This window comes from Homo sapiens, chromosome 7 (genome assembly GCF_000001405.40).
Source record: "Homo sapiens chromosome 7, GRCh38.p14 Primary Assembly".
NCBI lineage: Eukaryota > Metazoa > Chordata > Mammalia > Primates > Hominidae > Homo > Homo sapiens.
In genome coordinates this window covers 108,092,313-108,112,315 of record NC_000007.14, presented here as the reverse complement: position 1 = coordinate 108,112,315, position 20,003 = coordinate 108,092,313, and the positions used below count along the sequence as shown (strand labels likewise).

At 40.8% G+C, this 20,003-nt stretch overlaps 1 protein-coding gene across 12 annotated transcripts in view; it reads left to right on the top strand.

Moving 5' to 3' along the window:
• The window catches only part of LAMB4 (laminin subunit beta 4), a 118,700-nt gene that overhangs the window by 18,046 nt on the left and 80,651 nt on the right, over positions 1-20,003 (top strand). For all 12 annotated transcript variants that reach the window (XR_927421.2, XR_927422.2, XM_011515975.2 and 9 more), the window contains exons 4-13: positions 370-505; positions 3,072-3,145; positions 4,497-4,685; positions 5,744-5,807; positions 6,285-6,499; positions 7,697-7,817; positions 9,084-9,272; positions 13,734-13,913; positions 16,979-17,088; positions 19,900-19,979. Coding sequence is in view for 10 of the 12 variants with exons in the window: in XM_011515975.2 (XP_011514277.1) it covers positions 370-505; positions 3,072-3,145; positions 4,497-4,685; positions 5,744-5,807; positions 6,285-6,499; positions 7,697-7,817; positions 9,084-9,272; positions 13,734-13,913; positions 16,979-17,088; positions 19,900-19,979 (1,358 nt within the window). In the remaining 2 variants the exon portion in view is untranslated. The remainder of the gene's footprint in view (positions 1-369; positions 506-3,071; positions 3,146-4,496; positions 4,686-5,743; positions 5,808-6,284; positions 6,500-7,696; positions 7,818-9,083; positions 9,273-13,733; positions 13,914-16,978; positions 17,089-19,899; positions 19,980-20,003) is intronic.

Here is a 20,003-nt window from a genome sequence, read left to right as displayed (position 1 = left end):
CCTAAGCAAAACTAGTTCCAATTCACTAAGACCTTCTAAGAGGTCTATTTCTAATTTTTTATTTCTTCATATTAGTTGTGTACAGTTTAAAATAACTTCCAGATCCTCTGCCTCTTATATGACAGAAAATTAGTTTTACATAAATTTGCATTTTTATTCCAAATGTATAAATTTATAAAATTTTAGTTCATAGTTTATTGTTGTACTTAGGCACCTACTGATAGGCATTTTGATGTCTTGTTATTTCCTCTGCCTTTTATTTTTAGCCAGTTTGGAAGACAAATATAGTATGTACAGCTTGCCTTTAATTTAGCCCAACAATATGTAATTCCAATTTTTATTTTTAATTTTAATAATGGTGTTTTCCAGGGGGAACAAAAATGCTTCATCTGTGACTCTAGATTTCCATATGATCCGTATGACCAACCCAACAGCCACACCATTGAGAATGTCATTGTAAGTTTTGAACCAGACAGAGAAAAGAAATGGTGGCAATCTGAAAATGGTATGATTTAAGTTCCTTTCCAGTTGTTTATTTCTTCAATATTTTAATATGACATCCTCTTCCTTGTATGGTTTTAATAATGTCACAGCAAAGTATTATATTGGAATGGAACAGTATCCTCCAAGAATGTAGAGACCCATATAAGAATACAATTTATTTTCATTTTAACAAGAATACTTTCCTTTACAGGAAAATCAAAATGTATTTTAAGCACATAACTCAGAATGTTTCACTCTTTCCATGTGGAAGAAAATATCTCTGCATCCTTTTGTTCTTTGTAAAAAAATAATAATAAGAAGAAAGTTTATGAAGTGTTGGTAAATTAAGCCTAATACAAAACACTGATGTAAACTGAATGAATAATGCCAGGGGAAGTCTGAGAGTTAGCGCCAAGTGCTTTTTCCTTCAACACATGAAGGGAAAGAGAAAAGAACATTTTGCTTCTTACTGTAAGCCAAAGTAAAATCTCTGAATTGAAAGGATAGCTGGCTACGGACTGAAGTATGCCTTTCTCTCTTTATGAACAATTGCGATATTGAGCCTACATTGGCGCTGACCATCCAGATTCCTAGATGCTCGCTATAAATGTGGACTTGATCAGGGATCCTCATGTCCCACCCCCAGCCATGGGCCTCATGTGCCCAAATGTATGTCCATCCAGGCCGGACTTTCCTAATGCAGGCTTGCCTACTCTTGATGACCCTTCTTTAACACTAGTCTGGAACTCTTCAGTTTTCCTTAACCCCCACAAGATGATTTCATTCACTACATTGCTATGTGTTGCACTTTGGACTATAATTCCTCTATTCTCTACAAACTCCTGAATGTATTTCCTTTAGAGATTTTAGACCATTAGAAGGGAGTGTGGGAATAATCATAATATATAAGATAGTTTAGGGCAAGCATAAGATGAGGTTGTTTTATTTATGTCATCCACTTGACCAATGATTGACTGTGTCTACTAAATGCCATTTCATTTTGGATCCTTGTTATTGATCTCCAGCTGGACTCTCCTTAATGAATATGAGGTGTTTTTTCCACAGCCACCTGTCCTCCTGATGAATGGTGCCATTTTTGCTTAATGGCTGTTTTGACCCCCACATCTAACATTTGTTCCACATCTCCTCACAAAGGGAATGTCACTCTGTCCAAGCCAATGACATAGAGCAAGGATTCTCAACCAAGCACCTTAGAGAGAGGGACAGATCTCTTTCCTAGAAAGGGTTAGGACCCTTGACACTCAGCCTGCAATGTGGCTGCCCACTCAGCAGCAAACACGTACCTAAGCTTTTCACCCTAGAACTCTAGGCTGAACCCCGATTCACTGTAGTCCAGCCGCTTTCGTCTGGAGCCATACTGTCCCGTGTGAGCAGTTGAAATGTGTCTAATCCAAATTGAGATGGGCTGGAAGTGTAAAAACATCCCAGACTTCTAAGACATAGTTTTGGGAGAAAATGTATAATAAAGAATCACTGATTTTCTGGCAGGGTGCAGTGGCTCACACCTGTAATCCCAGCACTTTGGGAGGCCAAGATAGGCAGATCACTTGAGCTCAGGAGTTTGAGACCAGCCTGGCCAACATGGCAAAACCCTGTCTCTACTAAAAATACAAAAATTAGCCAGGCATGGTGGAGCAAGCATGTAGTCCCAGCTACTCAGGAGGCTGAGGCAGTAGAATCCCCTGACCCGGGAGGCAGAGGTTGCAGTGAGCCAAGATCCTGCCACTGCACTCCAGTCTGGGGGACAGAGCGAGACTCTGTCTTTAAAAAATCACTAATTTTTAAAATATTGATTATATGTCAAAATAACATTTAAATATGTTGGTTTATTATTACAAACAAATTTACCTGTTTCTTTTTACCTTTTTTAATGTGGCTGCTAGAAAATTCAAAATTACACACATGTCTCATATTTTATTTCTGTTGGACAGTGCTGCTCTAGAGAGATCTGGGCTTCTTTTGTGTCCAGGTTAGGGCTGATACCCCACATCTCTGCTAGAGATGGATCATAACTAGCTCAGTGCAAAACACTGACCAGGCTACCTCTACCACCGCCTCAGCCACAGAGGAGCCCACAGGTCCCCACTCCAAGGGGAATACTCCAAGCTGTGTTATATGCCAGGTGACAATGAAATTCTAGTTCAAATGACTATAGCAGCTCTTGGAAGAAATGGGTGCACTGGTTTTTACCACCCTCTGGCTAGCTAGCTCATGTTTATGTGTAGTCAAGATTTCAGTACAAGGAAATGAACCCTCTCTTTCTCTCTTTCCACCTAGGGCAAATGTCCTGAAACTCCCTTGGTCATATGTAATGCTGCCACATAGTGGCCATGTGTGTTGCCACTAAAACACAGATGTGGGCACAGTCAGGGTGAAACCTATCTTGCTCTGCATACCTCCTGGGCTTGGAGTGGCATGGGATACCACTCCAACAGACTGGGAAGAGTGATCGTCAGCCTTGTGGCATCAAAGAGATTTTATTACAGATAAGCCACAATGGGGAATTAACATGATAAGCAGAAGTCTCTCAAAATCACTGATTTTCTTCTTTCTGGATTCTTCCTTAGGTCTTGATCATGTCAGCATCAGACTGGACTTAGAGGCATTATTTCGGTTCAGCCACCTTATCCTGACCTTTAAGGTACAGACTAATAGGCCTGCTGCCCCTCTTTTATCTATTCCCTAAATGCTCAGTGTTTATCTGGAATTTCACTGCCTTGCTTCCTTGCAGTGAACAAAAACAGAATAAGTTCAGACTTGACCTTTGCCACCTGAGCTTTGACTCTTACATGAAGAAAAAAAAAACACTTTTTAAAAATCAATGACCATGACTATATGATTTTTTTAAAAAATTAGAAGACACAGAGAAAAGGAAAACTCCTAGTACTGAGGTGATAGGAACCATAAGAACTATAAAGATAATTTTTGGGAGAAAAGGGCAAGAACTGGAAATTATTTAGGTAAATATGGAAAGGTTGTAATCAAGGGGAAAGAAAAATTAAAAGAGTCTTTACTAAGATTAGTCAGATGACAGAGAAAATCATTGTGCTATAGTGCTTCTTTAATCATTCAGGAAAATTCTAATTTTGATGTCAGACTTTATGCTCGTTTTGGTAAGAAAAAATGAATATGAAATTTAAAAAATGAAAAAAAAAACACCAGTCTTTGTCTCCAAAGAACTCACAATCTAGTCATGGATACAAACATATAAATATAATAGAAAATTATAATACAAAGTGATAAGTACAGAATTAGCGGGATGATTGATTTAAAATGCTGGGGAATTTAAGAGGCTAAATCTGCTGTGGGGAACCAGGATAAATTTCATGGATAGGGTTTGAAGGATATATAAGAGTTTGCCAGAGGAAAAGCATGCTTGGCAAAGAGAATCACAACAAATTGCTGTAAAATATTAACTACATTAGCTTTTCCATTTATAAGCCATCTTTCTTCAATTAATAATTCACAAAGCCATAAACATTTTTACAATGTAATTAGATTATGAGGACAAAGTGTGTACTCATAAATACTGAAAAGAGACTGTGGTGTGTGTATTGTGTAGTAGATTTTAAAAGATAGACCTGGCCAGGAACAGTGACTCACACCTATAATCCCAGCATTTTGGGAGGCTGAGGTGGGCATTTGAGCCCAGGAGTTTGAGAACAGTCTGGGCAACATGGCAAAACTCTGGCTCTACAAAAAAATTATCTGGGCATGGTGGCATGCACCTCTAGCCCCAGCTACTCAGGAGGCTGAGGTGGGAGGATCACCTGGGCCTGGGAAGTTGAGGCTACAGTGAGCCGAGATCATGCCACTGCACTCCAGCCTGGGCGACAGAGTGAGATCCTGTCTCAAAAACAAAACAAAACAAACAACAAAAAGATACACCTAAAGTTTTTAAAAATGGAATTAGAAAATACAAATATTCAATCTGAAGTTGATAATAAAATCTGCCTTTGTGAAATGTGCCAACTTTTACTCATTTTTCCTAGACTTTTCGGCCTGCTGCAATGTTAGTTGAACGTTCCACAGACTATGGACACAACTGGAAAGTGTTCAAATATTTTGCAAAAGACTGTGCCACTTCCTTTCCTAACATCACATCTGGCCAGGCCCAGGGAGTGGGAGACATTGTTTGTGACTCCAAATACTCGGATATTGAACCCTCAACAGGTGGAGAGGTAGCATTTCCTTCCTTGTATTTATTTTGTATAAATTAAACTTTTAAAAAGTATAATTAACTTAAATGAAAAACTTTCGATAGTGTTTACTGTAATGTAAGTTGGGCTGTTGCTTTTTTGAAAATGAAAGTGTCTAAACTGAAATGATTCCCAAATAAATACTAAATACATTTTTAGAAGCAATCCTGCACAAGAGTGCTCAGCTGAAGGTGGGCATGGGATAACACTTAAACGGGGCACCATGGCCCCAGGCACCCAGAAGAAGGAACACCCATTTCTAATGCTTGCAAAGGAGCCATGTAAGCTAGCAGCAGCCTGACATTAGCTATCTCATCCCCATACTCTGTAAACCACCACCCCAGGGGAATCTGCCGGGAACATCCCTCTGAGCAAAGCTGGTGCCTGGCAGAAGGTTGGAGTGAGTGGGATTGAACAGGCACTATTTTGCCAGGTAGAGCAGAAAGAATTAGTGGCAGAAGACAGCTCCAGAGTTCACCACCAAATCCAAATTGATCATGGCTTGCCAAATTGTCTGTCACTCCATCCCAACCCAGCATAAGCACTCTTTTTGACTTTTCTGCCTGTATGAACCACTTGTACATAAAGAGCCGGAAATGACTGATTAATACCTTTCATTTATTTCTGCTCCTGGTACTTCTATTCATATGCTAACCCAAATGATAATCTGTATTCTATGCCAGCTGGGAAGCAATGGCTCAGCCTTCTTGTAAGATCAGGGTCTCTTCTGTAAGAGTGCATTTCACGGTCAGGTGTGATGGCTCACATCTGTAATTCCAGCACTTTAGGAGGCTGAGGCAGGAGGATCACTTGAGCCTGGGAGTTCGAGACCAGCCTGGGCAACATAGGGAGAACCCCACCTCTACAAAAATCTTTAAAAATTAGCTGGGCATGGTGGTGCATGCCTGTGGTCTCAGCTACTTGGGAGGCTGAAGTGGTAAGATTTCTTGGGCCTGGGAGGTTTGAAAAAAAAAAAGAGTGTGTTTGACAATTACGTTTTCAGGTAATATACTATAAATGTATCTATATTTGTTTTACAGGTTGTTTTAAAAGTTTTGGATCCCAGTTTTGAAATTGAAAACCCTTATAGCCCCTACATCCAAGGTATGAATTCCTTTATATTTTTCATATCAGCTTTAAAAAAATTTCATGTTTGGCATATTCCTTGTAATTGCTTTTCTTTTTTTTTTTTCTTGAGACGGAGTCTTGCCCTGTCATCCAGGCTGGAGTGCAGTGGTGTGATCTCAGCTCTCTGCAACCTCCGCCTCCTGGGTTCAAGCAATTCTTGTTCCTCGGCCTCCCAAGTAACTGGGATTACAGGCATGCGCCACCCTGCCCAGCTAATTTTTGTATTTTATGTAGAGACAGGGTGTCGCCATGTTGCCCAGTCTGGTCTTGAACTCTTGAGCTCAAGGGATCCTCCTGCCTCGGCCACCCAAAGTGCTGGGATTACAGGCGCAAGCCACTACACCGGGCCTGTAATCTCTTTTCTATAGTATATTAAGTGTATATCAGTCAAGAAGAGTCCCTTGAACTGATGCACCTCAAATTCACTTTGATTCATTATTTTCCTTTCTTTAGACCTTGTGACATTGACAAACCTGAGGATAAACTTTACCAAGCTCCACACCCTTGGGGATGCTTTGCTTGGAAGGAGGCAAAATGATTCCCTTGATAAATACTACTATGCTCTGTACGAGATGATTGTTCGGGGAAGCTGCTTTTGCAATGGCCATGCTAGCGAATGTCGCCCTATGCAGAAGATGCGGGGAGATGTTTTCAGCCCTCCTGGAATGGTGAGTTATTAATCCAAAAGAACAGTGGGCTGTCCTACCTGCCTTTCACTGTCCTGGTGCTATATATAGATGAGACACTCCACATGGAGATCAACAAATCTAAGTGCCAGTTTTATGCTGAGATGGGTACCATTCAACCTATCCTGATAGGCCACCTAGGGCCCTCCAGTTCCTCCAGCCACAAGTGCTTGTGGATTCTGCAGCATATGGACATCATTGAACTAGTGAGCAGAATTTATACTTTAGGATTTCAAGATACTTCATCTTGCCCTCTTTTCATTTATTTTGTAGAGCATGGAGATTTGGTGGGGAGGGATCATATTGGGTTGGTGCAAAAGTGCTGTTTTTGCCAACACTTTTAATTGCAAAAACCAAAATTACTGTTGTACCAACCTAATAATTTCACATTCATTCTCTCACAAAAATCTACTGAAGGACTTTTGTGTGCAAGACCCTGTAGTCAATGCTAAGGTGTTTCAGCAATATCTGATATCGTAAAATGTTCAATCCAAATAGCATTCTTACCCTGGGAATGGCTGTGTCTTAATATGGCAGATCTCTCTCATCTTGGGGGACTAGCCTTAAAAGACATTGTAGAAGAGTTGTAGTTTTATGCAGAGCCCCAGGGAGTGTGTCTACTAAATAAATGTCAACTGTTTATTAGGCAAAATTATACAAGGCTTAATGTTGAGCTAGTGTGCCTTCCCATTCAGCTACCTCTGTTTCACTGGAAACAGAGCTTCTCTCTCTGCATGTGAGCCATTTAGAGCATTTTTGGGAAAATCCAGGAGAATCACATGGCTTTCTTCAGCTTCGTTCCCTTTTCTAACTCTCTATTTTCTCTTATGCTCCTAAAAAATCCTATATACTACTCCCCCCCAACTCCCCACAAACCCCTTAGCCATCCTGTCCCTCATTTTATTGAGGGCTGCAATGTGCTGCCCTGAAACTAGAACTCAGAAAAGCCAAAAAAAAAGTATTGTATTTTAGAAGTTCACTGAACTTTTAAAATTTTTATAAAGTTTAAAGCTAGTTAAGAAAATAATAGAAGATAATCAAGGTTGGTATTGTAATTAACATATGGGAAACTAAGGATCAGAGAGGTACCAGGACCTGGTATTTCATTTCCCATTTAAAGAACCCCAACGTCCCCAAGGACAAGCCCTCTTTCAACGCTCTATTTATTGCACAATGCAGGTTCACGGTCAGTGTGTGTGTCAGCACAATACAGATGGTCCGAACTGTGAGAGATGCAAGGACTTCTTCCAGGATGCTCCTTGGAGGCCAGCTGCAGACCTCCAGGACAACGCTTGCAGATGTGGGTGAAACTCAGTTCCCTGCATAGACTGAGTGTGCTCTGCATTTCCTTATTTAAGAAACACTTCGTTCACTTCTGTGGGGCTGCAGGCACCAAAGTGGGGAGGCTGTCCTCCCAGCTCCTATAGTGTGATATCCCAGTGTTCCCAATTATCCCACATAGAAGAATCGCCAACTTCTCCAACTCTCCCACCACAAATTAAGTTTAACTTTAAAAATGAAACAGTAAGCATGTTGTGTGGCACCCTTCTAGTAGAGGGATGGAGCCATTTAATGGCAATATCAGTGGGGACAAGGCAACTCCAAGAATTTGGTGAACACTAGGCTTGGTCCAGAGATCTGCACTGTCATCCTGAATAGTCATACATTCCATGAACGTGACCTTAAACCCATCTGTAGGATAATAGGAGAAATGAGGCCCAGGAATGAGTTTGACAGGCCATTGTATTGTTTTAAATAAAATACTCAGGCTAATAAGATGCTGGTTTTGTTTTGGCTAACATGTTTGCTGCCTCTGAATTTTAATGAACTTCCAAACAAATTTGTTATTCAATTTCTTTTCCTAGACTAGGAAAAACAGAATTTAAGGGAATGAAATGTCCCTAGAAGAGCTCTAATAAAAAAGCCTCATCCATGAGAGTCACAGTATACAAGACCGGGGAATATGCAGCCTGACCTTAGACTGTTTACAGGAAAAGAAACAAAAAGACAAACAGTGTAGACATTATCATGAAGACAAATTCCTCCAAACAGACTGCCTTTCCCTCCAGGCCACTGGCCTAGCCTCAGATGAGATAAAATTGACCGCAGCCCTTGCAGCTCTCTGCTGCTGTGGAAAGAGGGGCCAGGCCGGTTTCCTCTGCCGTCTTCTCTAGGAATCCCAGAGCATGCAGAATATTTCATGTAAAAATTTCAGTTGCACAAAGCATAAGTCAGTAAAAGCATCCTTTAATGAACACCACAAATATTGCACTCTGTGGCTTTAGATCACCGAAATGATTTACTTTTGTTCACTTGATTTTTAAAAACTACATATTTAACATATGGGGAGCACATTTTATAGAAAGCGTAGGAGCAGAATCAGAGTGTTAGAACGATCCCCTGAGGGCACACATTTTGGCCCTGTGTTTGCTTGGTGCATCTATACAAAGAACACGAAATGGCAGGAGGACAAGGAGGACTAGCGGGTGCCCTGACCAGTGCGGGGGCACTGGCTGTGCCACCCGAGGCCTTAGTCTACCTCTCAGTCACTGTCTTCTCCTTTCAGCGTGCAGCTGTAATAGCCACTCCAGCCGCTGTCACTTTGACATGACTACGTACCTGGCAAGCGGTGGCCTCAGCGGGGGCGTGTGTGAAGACTGCCAGCACAACACTGAGGGGCAGCACTGCGACCGCTGCAGACCCCTCTTCTACAGGGACCCGCTCAAGACCATCTCAGATCCCTACGCGTGCATTCGTGAGTCCCCGGGTCTGCCTGGATCCTACCCACTGTCTGAGCAAAGTTCAGTTTGATCTTACTGGGGCTGCCCGCACCTTATCTGCTTAACGGCATCTCCAAACTACCCTATTTTGGAGAGTGGAGGATTGCAAAAATACCTCAGCTTTAAGAGCTCATCCTTCTGCAAACAAGTTGATCCAAATAATCTGTGTCTGTCCTGGTAGTTGGGAAATTATGCAGGATTCCACCAGGAGAGGCAGACGCCTTGAGTATCATGGAAGCCTGCTGGGGGAGGAACCAAAGTGGTAAAATTGGCTAAAACATTCGACTGGCTGTAGACAATTCAATTTTGCTGTTAAGATGCATAAGCTAACATGTTACTTACCTTGCGCTTTTTAAAAACCTTTAAAAATCTTTTATCTTGAATCTCAACTTCTTAAATGAAATATTTCAAGCATGTACAAAATAATAGGGAATAATATAATATACACCCTTATACCCCACCATCAGCTTTCTCTAGAACAGTCTTAGCCTGTCACTCTTGGGACTTTCTTTAATAAAACATGACAGGCACTATATTGATGTCTCAGGTACACAACTGTCCCATTTGTCTACCCTCCTTGCTAGTGGTAAACTCATATATTTTGCATTATCATGATTTTTTTCACTCTTTCACATGTGTTTTTATCTATGAACAATATATGTTGACATGTTTTCAAAGTTTAGATAGATTATGTCATTTTGTATGTGTCTTTCAGCAACTTGGGTATTTCATTCGACATTATATTTTTGAGACTTTTCTATATCAGGTAGTCTTAGTTCTTCCATTTTAATTTCTTATAGAAGTTTTTCCTTTAGGTATGACAAAACTTATTTGTTCATTTTTCTTTGGATGCTACAGTAAACATTCTTGTGTATGTGACCTTGTGCATCTATGCAAACATTGTCCCTAGGAGATATACCTAGCTGTGGAATTTCTGGGCCATGGAGTATGGACTTCAAATTGATTAAATAACACTGCATGGTCCCCTAAGTGAGTGTGCCAATGGCCACTCACGCCAATAGTAAATGGGAGTTCCTGGGGCTCTGCTTCCTTGCCGACACTTGGTTTTGTCAAACTTCAATTTTTGCTATCTTTGTTTTATCACACTTTAATTTTCACTAATCAAAAATGGTATCTCATCATTGTTTTAATTTGCATTTTCCTGCAGGACTGGGACTAGAGTGAGCCAAGGAAGGCACTTAAGTTCCAAAATGTAAGGAAGAACTCGCTATCAGGGTGATGGAAGTGCAGGGCTAACACTTGCTGCTTGCACAAATCTGAGAGTGGGTACCTCCTTAAATGTTGCACCCCAGCCACCTTGCTTGCTCACTCTCATCCCATCACTGCTATACATTTTTGCCTACAGAAATACTCCATCCTGATTTCAAATACCCAGTGTCAGTAACTGGGTCTGAAATCTTTACTTGCCGACGAACAAGTTAGCCTGTTATTGTTTCATGGATACTAACAGAAGACACAAAACTCTTGGGCCAAAGACAAAAGACTTTGTAACTCATGGCATAGCAAGCAACAAGATCATTGTATTGGCCTGAGTTTCCATGTCCCCATGTCCCATGGGAGTGACACAACGGATACCATGTGAATAGTGCATATCTAGTGAGTTTATGATAAAGCTGAGGAACAGTGAACTTGGAGGATTCATTGCTTTATAGCAAGTGGAAGCAAGCCTATTTTTTATCCAGGGAAGATGCCACTCCATCCCTCAAAGTTGCTTACTGCAAGCACAACTCTAAGAAATGGCTAGGTAAAGAGCCAGTGGGGACTTGAACGGCTGGCACACTTAGCAAGAACGTTCAGGATACCAGCATCCATGGAAGATTGCCTCTCCCAGGACTCAGGGATCCCGCTTCTTAGGGTATATCCATATAATGCTAAAGTGGGGGCAGGGAAGCTGCTATAAAATCTAACTTCAACTTTTATATAATCATAATATATAAAATGAAGTCTTATACAGTGTAATTCACTGGCCACCTGAATAGATTCAATGTCCTAGATTTCAAACTTTAAGTGATCACAATATAGAAAATGCATCAATGAAATGTTTTAGCTCGGATTACTCAGTAGGCACCTGACTATATAAAATTTACCTTACGTGACCTGTTCAAAATTGATATAAAGAACTAGATTCTCAGAAAATGTATTTCTTTAGAGCAATTTCCTAAGTATCCTACCACACAGTTTTTACCACAATCTGTAATCATGCACACACATAACTTTTATTGTTTTAAAACTATGTATTTATAAAAGAAGATTAAATTGCTCTCTTGGGTAGAATCAGGGAAATACAATTATTGAAACAGATAATCTAGGAATCTGGAAAGAGATTTGGAAATAACAAACCAAATATTTTGAGCACATCAATCAAAGTCTTGTTCCTTAAGAACCACTGAGTATTAACTCGATAGTGCTTTGGAAAGAAAACTAGTACTCCTGGTATGAAAGTAAGAAGTCATTCTTTGTAAACAAGGAATTTTTCCATAAAAGGTAGATGAGGAGCTTGTAACAAACTACTATCATGAGACACCCCAGTTTCTCCCAGTTTACCTAAACAAATGTTTATGTGTATATATACAAATGATGTGTATTTGAAGATTGATTAGAATTCTCATATAAATTTTCTCTAAGTTGTCCTTGTTTGAACCTAAATATTTACATAAGCAGATTCCAGGCATAAGAGTTGACTAATTTTAAGTTTTCTACAATTAAGTTGCCATTAAATTTGATACAGAAAAACCAAGATTTGGTAGACTCAACTACTTGATAATAAAAGTTTGCTAGAATTATGTGACACCAAGACATTCAATTAGACTTCTAAAGGTCATGACATAAGGCTATTTCAAAGAACATTTACTATCCACCCTTCCCACATCTCTTTCCCAAAGGATACTTCTGTGCATAATTAAATTATTCTCTGGAACTCAATACTGATTCTTTGGAGTGTCTCCCAAAGAAATTGTAGCTTTTTCCTTTTGGCCACTATTAAGATGAATCCAGTTTGTTCCCTTCTTTCTAGAAGCAACTGGCTTTAATTAGAAGAAAATTGTGGCTTTTCCAAACTAAACAGAACTCAATGCTATTTTTTCATAGTAAGTCACCAGTCACAAAACAATAACAAGTAACAAATCATTGAAATTTGAAAGATTGTGTCAGAGAGCAAACACCAGTTGCTTCAATAATGCGAAACAACTGGTTTGACTGAATTGTTTCCACTAAACTCACTAACCTAAATGGTGGTTATATAGACATGGTTTTAGACTTGACAGTTTTGTTTTTAGTAATCCAAAGCAAGCATGTATAAATGTGAATGTGACTGTTCCTTAAAATCAGGATATTCATATTTTTATTTTTATTACACGCCTTAAAAGTGGAACCCCATGGAAACACAGAACCACAAAGGTACAAGAGACCTTGGTGGTCATCTAATGCCCAACAACACATTTGTCATCCATACCAAAGCCACAAGTGCTGTTTCAACATCTACCTGGACACCTCCGATGATGAGGGGTTCGCTGCAGTATTGGGCACCCCTAACTATTTGAGAGTTCTTCCTCAAACTCAATCAAGTGCTACCTTTTGTGACTTCTACTCTCTCCTGGTTCTACCCTCTGGAATTAACTCAAACTGTCAACATTCTTTTTCATATGACACACCATCCTTGAGTTGTTCAAATGTCTACAACAACAACAGGAAAAAGGTTGCTACCATTGTGGCTCCTTTGCTGCAAGTGACTGTTTATCCCATTTTCCAGAATCTCTTCCATCAAGCTCTTGACCTGTCAGCAGATTTCCCCCCAACAAAACCAAGGATATGAATACTTCTCACTATTCCCTCCCTTTCCTTCTTACAGGTGTTTCTTCCAGGAAAAATAAAATAGAATGTCACTTTTCCTTGTGACATATTTTTCTGTGATAGAGGAGAGACTTACTTTTTAAGCACGTTTCAGAGATTTTGACCTTATTTTCACCTTTAGAGTCTTTTTTAAAATCTATTTTTAGATGAAATTCACATAACATAAAATATTAACCATTTTTAAATGAACAACAGTTCACCAGCACAATGTTGTGCAGCCATCCCATCTACCTAATTCCAAAACGTTCTCATCATCCCCAGAAGAATCAGTCTATTCTTAACATAATCTAGTCTTAATTTTCATAACAGCAGTCTTCCTCTGGTCCTCTGACTTTCGAATCATTTAAAAGTCTTTTAAAAATATATGCATGGATTTATTCAACGTTTTCCAAGGCTAGAGATCTGGGAGACATTTCTGAATAGCTCTTGCCAGGTGGTCTAATTATTTAAACATTTAATTATTTAAACAAAGCAAGATAGTTATAGCATGAGTAAAATGCCGTGCTTATATTTCAGGCTTCCCACAATTTGCAATTAACTAAAACAATGAATGTCTGTGTCCCCAGCTTGTGAATGTGACCCCGATGGGACCATATCTGGTGGCATTTGTGTGAGCCACTCTGATCCTGCCTTAGGGTCTGTGGCCGGCCAGTGCCTTTGTAAAGAGAACGTGGAAGGAGCCAAATGCGACCAGTGCAAACCCAACCACTACGGACTAAGCGCCACCGACCCCCTGGGCTGCCAGCGTAAGTCCATAATCGGGGGTCGGGGGAGTGTCCATCAACCCCTATGTGGTTGGTTGGTTTGTCTGTTTTTGAGATGGAGTCTCGCTCTGTCGCCCAGGCTGGAGTACAGTGGCAAAATCTCGGCTCACTCCAACCTCCACCTCCCAGGTTCAAGCAATTCTCCTTCCTCAGCCTCCCGAGTAGCTGGGATTACAGGCGACCACCACCACGCCCAGATAATTTTTGTATTTTTAATATAGACGGGGTTTCACCATGTTGGCCAGGCTGGTTTCAAACTCCTGACCTCAAGTGATCCGCCCACCTCGGCCCCTATGCGTTTTAAAGCTTGGGGCTGTCTCTGTCTGCCCTAAAAATTGATGATCATGAATACCTAAGAATCCTGCCAACCTCTGGGTTTTAAAAAGTAACATAATGGTTCCCGTAAATCCTAAGCGGTTAGTGGAGAACTTTTCTCTGTGGTTTGCTGGGTTTATCATAAAGGACCAGCAGGGGGCATTCACATTTTCCCCACTGGAACAAACACGGGGAAATGGCAAGAAATTTAACGCCAAGTTGCAAAAGTTTTTTTGGTTTCCACTAGACCTCTACATACAAATCCATTAAATTACATTATGTGTTTCTGCAAGATTGATGTCATCTTAGGCAATTTTCAAGTGGTGGTTTGTTTATTTATTTATTTATTTATTTGTGAGACGGAGTCTCGCTCTGTCACCCAGGCTGGAGTGCAGTGGCTGGGACTACAGGCGCCTGCCACCACGCCCGGCTAATTTTTTGTATTTTTAGTAGAGACGGGGTTTCACCGTGTTAGCCAAGATGGTCTCTGTCTCCTGACCTCGTGATCCGCCCGTCTCGGCCTCCCAAAGTGCTGGGATTACAGGCGTGAGCCGCCATGCCCGGCCTCTTTTTATTTTTTAAATTATGTTTCCCCTTTCTTCTCACACCCCTTCTAATATTGGTCCATATGTTCTCTGATAAAAGAAAAAATAATTAAAGAGCTCAGGGAAGCGGGGGAGCGGAAATAGAAAAACACCTCAGCAGTTTTCTAAGGCCAAATGAGCAGACCCTTAGCTATAGGATCACAGAAATTTAGAGCTGCTCCGGGCCTCCGTAGAGCTACAGATTCCTCAGAAACCCTGGGTAAATAATTTCCATTTGGTCACAGCCTCCTGCTCCATATTTTTGCCCATATAAGGAACTGTGGATTATTTGCATGTTTAGAAAACATTGGTCTGAATCTTTCTGTAATAAAACGCTCTTCTTAAGTTTGATGGCAAAATTAAATGTCATGATAATGAATTATATAGTCAAACCAATTTCCCATCATACCTTTCAGCATTCCACATGTTTCTCTGACTCTCTGACTAAAATGATGTCCTCCAAGAACAGGCTGAACATTATTTTGGTGTGTGGGGGTGTATACCAGCTTTAAATTTTTTTTTTTTTTTTTTTTTTTTTTTTTTTTTGAGAGAGACAGAGTCTTGTTTTGTCATCAAGGCTGGCTTACAGTGGCACAATCATAGCTCACTGCAGCCTTAAACTCCTGGACTCAAGCAATTTTCTCACCTCAGCATTCAAGTAGCTAGAACTACAAGCATGTGCCACCACAGCCATCTAATTTTTTTTTTTTTTTTTTTTGAGAGACGGAGTCTCACTGTGTTTCCTAGGCTGGTCTTCAACTCCTGATCCCAAGCAACCCTTCCGCCTCACCTTCCCAAAGTGCTGGGATTCTAGACATAAGCCACTGTGCCCAGCCCATAACAGCTTTATTGAATATAATTTACATACCATACAATTCACCCTGTAAACAATTCAATAATTTTTAGTATATTGGAAGTTGTGTAATCATCACCACAATCATTTTCATCCCCCCACAAAAGAAACCCCTCTTCTGCATATATACCCAAAATAATTGAAAGCAGAGCTTTGAAGGGATATTTGTATTTCCATGTTCACAGCAACACTAGCCAAAAGGTGGAAGTAACCCAAGTATCCACTGATGGATGAGTGGGTAAACAAAATGTGGTATTTACATACAATGGAATCTTATTCTTCCTTAAAAAGGAAAAAAATTCTGACACATCCATCAACATGGATGATCCTTAAGAACATTATGCAAAGTAAAAGAAGGCAGTCACAAAAAGACAAAGACTATATAATTCCACTTATATGAGGTACCCAGAGTAGTCAAAATCAGACCGAAAGCAGCACGGTGGTTGCTAGGGATTAGAGGGGAGAAGGAGTGGGGAGTTATTATATAAAGGGCATAGAGTTTCAGTTTTGTAGGATGAAAAGCGTTCTGGAGTTTGTTTATGCAACGATGTTAATGTGCTTAACACAATTGAACTGCCTGCTTAAAATGGTTAAGATGGTACAATTAGTAATGTTTTCAAGTTTTATCCATATTGCAGATTACATCGGTCTTTATTTTTTATTGCTGAATAACATACTATTGTACAGAGGTGCCACTTTTATTTATCCATTCATTAGTCAATGGGACATTTGGGTTATTTCCATGAACGTTGGTATTTGCTGCAAGTGTATTCCTTGCTCTGGTAGCATGTCTTTTTAGCCTTTGCAACATATGCAGGGCTCAGAAATGTCTACGGGTAGAGGAGAAGAAGGAGGGGGGAATTAAGACAAAAAGTAACAAAGTACTAAAGGAGAGAAGAGAGAGTGGGATTCCAGATGCATCTGCCAGAGAAGGAGCGATCAGTAATAACCATGACTCCCAGAAACTCCTGCCTCTGAGTCACCAGCCTGGTCAGCATCACTTAGGGTTACTGTGCCAGTACTGCAGCATGTACAACTAGCTACACCTACTTGTCTCCTCCTCCTAATTGCCATCCAGTAAAACTACATGAGGCTCTGGAAGTGCCTGACACAGGATTTCCTCTGTGAGGTTATATGCAAAACAATAATCACGCAGCCAGGCACACAATAAACCTGGCAGGGCAGGCTTCTCTGTGTTCTTGCGGTTATGCTTCTTGCTTTGTGTGAGCTATTAAGTACACTTGCAAGAGTGGAGGAATTAAGAATGAGAATAATTGTGTATGCTGTGCTTTCAGCCTGCGACTGTAACCCCCTTGGGAGTCTGCCATTCTTGACCTGTGATGTGGATACAGGCCAATGCTTGTGCCTGTCATATGTCACCGGAGCACACTGCGAAGAATGCACTGTATGTATTTGCCTATAGTTTCCCTTTTCTATAGTGATACAGATTTCTATTGCCATTGCCTAGGTAAGACTTGGTTTTGCTAATCTCTTTCTTGTCCTATTGTGTTTTAATACTCCAGTGGTATGAGTATTTACACTACAGAAATCAGCAAACACTACCTATCAGCCTCCCCTCACCCCTGCATTGAGCTGCCTGTTAAACATTTACCAGCTCACCACTGGACTGGACTAAACCGACCCAGGCACAGATATTATTAGGTTTATCCACTCTTTTCCTGAAAATGCCAAGCAGTAGAATAGAAGCACATTTATCTGTCTATGTTTTGGGCCACCAGAACTTTCTTCTATCCCTTGTACACAATCCCCTTATCATCCCTACCACTCCCTTCCTAAAAATGTTTTGGATAAGGTCTTATAAAAAAACAAGCTTAGGTTTAATGTATTTTAGATTCCTGTGGGAAATAAACTCTTGGATTTTTCACAGACTCTACTAAACATACAATTTTAGATGTATCATCTAAAATTAGTAAAATAAAACATATTCACTCCATAAGAAATGCATGATGCAATTGGGGAGTTCAAACCCAACTCTTTTCTTTGTTCTCCAATCTTGGCAGCTCACCATGACATTTTAGAGAGAAAAAAAAAAAACCCACAAAATCTTAACCTAATAAAAGAACAGTGACCTCGATGTGTCTGAAGAAATGTAGCTGATGAATAAGAAACATATGCCTATGAGGACATGGTTTTGTGCTGATATTTTAAGTCATTTTACTGAAAACAGGATGGGGCAGAGGGGGTGGGGGAAAGAAGCAAGGAAGGAAATATGAAGAAGGGATTCTGGAAGACAAGTCAAAAAATCTGAAAATTGTACCTTAAAGAGAAAGGTCAGCCACGCCAACCTCCATGACCATAAGTGTGTAACACAAAAAAAGGAGCACAGTTGGTTACAGGATCAACAAATCCTGAAATTATGTGATCGACCAAATCATGTAATTCCAGACAAAGCTTAGGCTCAGGCTGACTTTTTTCACTGGCTGGTTAACTGCTACGTGTGCAGTACAGACTCACTTTTGCTTGCAGGGCAAGCAAGCAAAATAACTGAACAGGGACCCCCCCCATGGGGGAACTGTCCATCGTGGCTGAGCCCATGCACCCACTAGGTTCTCCACATCCACATCTCTCTGATGGTGCCCTGGATCTGCCCTGAGGTGGCCAGCATGGCAGCATTCCCTGTCCTAGAGGAAGTTTTCACAACCACATCCTGTGGGAAGCAGTTCCTATCACATCATTTTTTTTTCTTAAACTGAAGTTTTGGTTTGGGGAAAAACATCAAGTCCTTTGTCGCATTGTGTCCAAAGACATCAATGTTTAATATCTAAAAGACACCTTTTTGAGTAAAATCATGCATAAAATTATACCAAGATACAAAAAATATGGATGCTTAACAAGACCATTTCCAAAGAGAATTTCATACCTACTAAAATTTAAGTTTTATCGGAGCATGTTCAATTGAGATGTGTGGGAGGAGAATTTTTTTTAGCATTTTATACTAAATATTATAACACTTAGAAAATAGTTACTTGTATCTCACCAGCTGTTTATTTTGAACAACGGTCAAGATGTTGCAATGATGGAAAAAGTCTGGAACAATAGAGTTGACTCTCTCATATGGATTCATGTTATTATGCCAAAACAACTGATTGATAAACAAATGCCTATGCTAAAGTGTGGTATTCATGTAATATCTCAAAATTAGCTTGAAGGATTTCTCTGCCTCCAAGTATTTCAGTATTGTATGGGTAAAATTCCCAGGGGTTGTTGTGGTAAGGGAACCTATCAGTTTTTTTAAAAGCAGTTACACGGCCGAGCCTGGTGGCTCATGCCTGTAATCCCAGCACTTTGGGAGGCCGAGGCAGATGGATCACGAGGTCAGGAGTTCAAGACCAGCCTGGCTAACACGGTAAAACCCCGTCTCTACTAAAAATACAAAAATCAGCCGAGCGTGGTGGCAGGCGCCTGTAATCCCAGCTACTCGGGAGGCTGAGGCAGGAGAATTGCTTCCACCTGGGAGGCGGAGGTTGGCCAAGATCGTACCACTGCACTCCAGTGTGGGCAAAAGAACAAGACTCCGTCTGTGGGGTGGGAAAAATACAGGCAGTTACACATAGGCTGGTAGAAGAACTTCTATTCCGATAGGATTTATATAACCCAGATTGAGCATAACTGATGATGTGAGAGGAATTGTTAAGGCTCCCATTTCTTTTCCACTTGACACATTACATGGACAACCTTCCTGTCCCCTTCATTTTATAAAATTTTTTTGAGATGGAGTGTCACTCTGTCATCCAGGCTGGAGTACAGTGGCACGATCTCAGCTCACTCTGGCCTCCACCTCCCACGTTCAAACGATTCTCCTGCCTCAGCCTCCCGAGTAGCTGGGACTACAGGCATGCACCACACCCAGGCAATTTTTGTATTTTTAGTAGAGATGGGGTTTCACCATGGTTGGCCAGGCTGGTCTCAGACTCCTGACCTCAAGTGATCCACCCGTCTCGGCCTCCCAAAATGCTGGGATTACAGGCAGGAGCCACCGCACCCAGCCCTGTCCCCTTACTTCAAATCCTGGAGATGGGAGATGTGTCCATGGAAGATCATTAGCCAAGCGCATAGGCCAGGAAGGTTTCTCTGAGATGGTGCAGGCTGTTTGGCTATTTGACGTGTGGCAATTGCATTGTAGTGATTTCAGTGTTGCACTTCAGAGCAACAGCATCTTCATAGCTGGAATCAGCTGAGCATTTTTTCTCTGTAGGTTGGATACTGGGGCCTGGGAAATCATCTCCATGGGTGTTCTCCCTGTGACTGTGATATTGGAGGTGCTTATTCTAACGTGTAAGTCAAATAAGTTTTATAGCA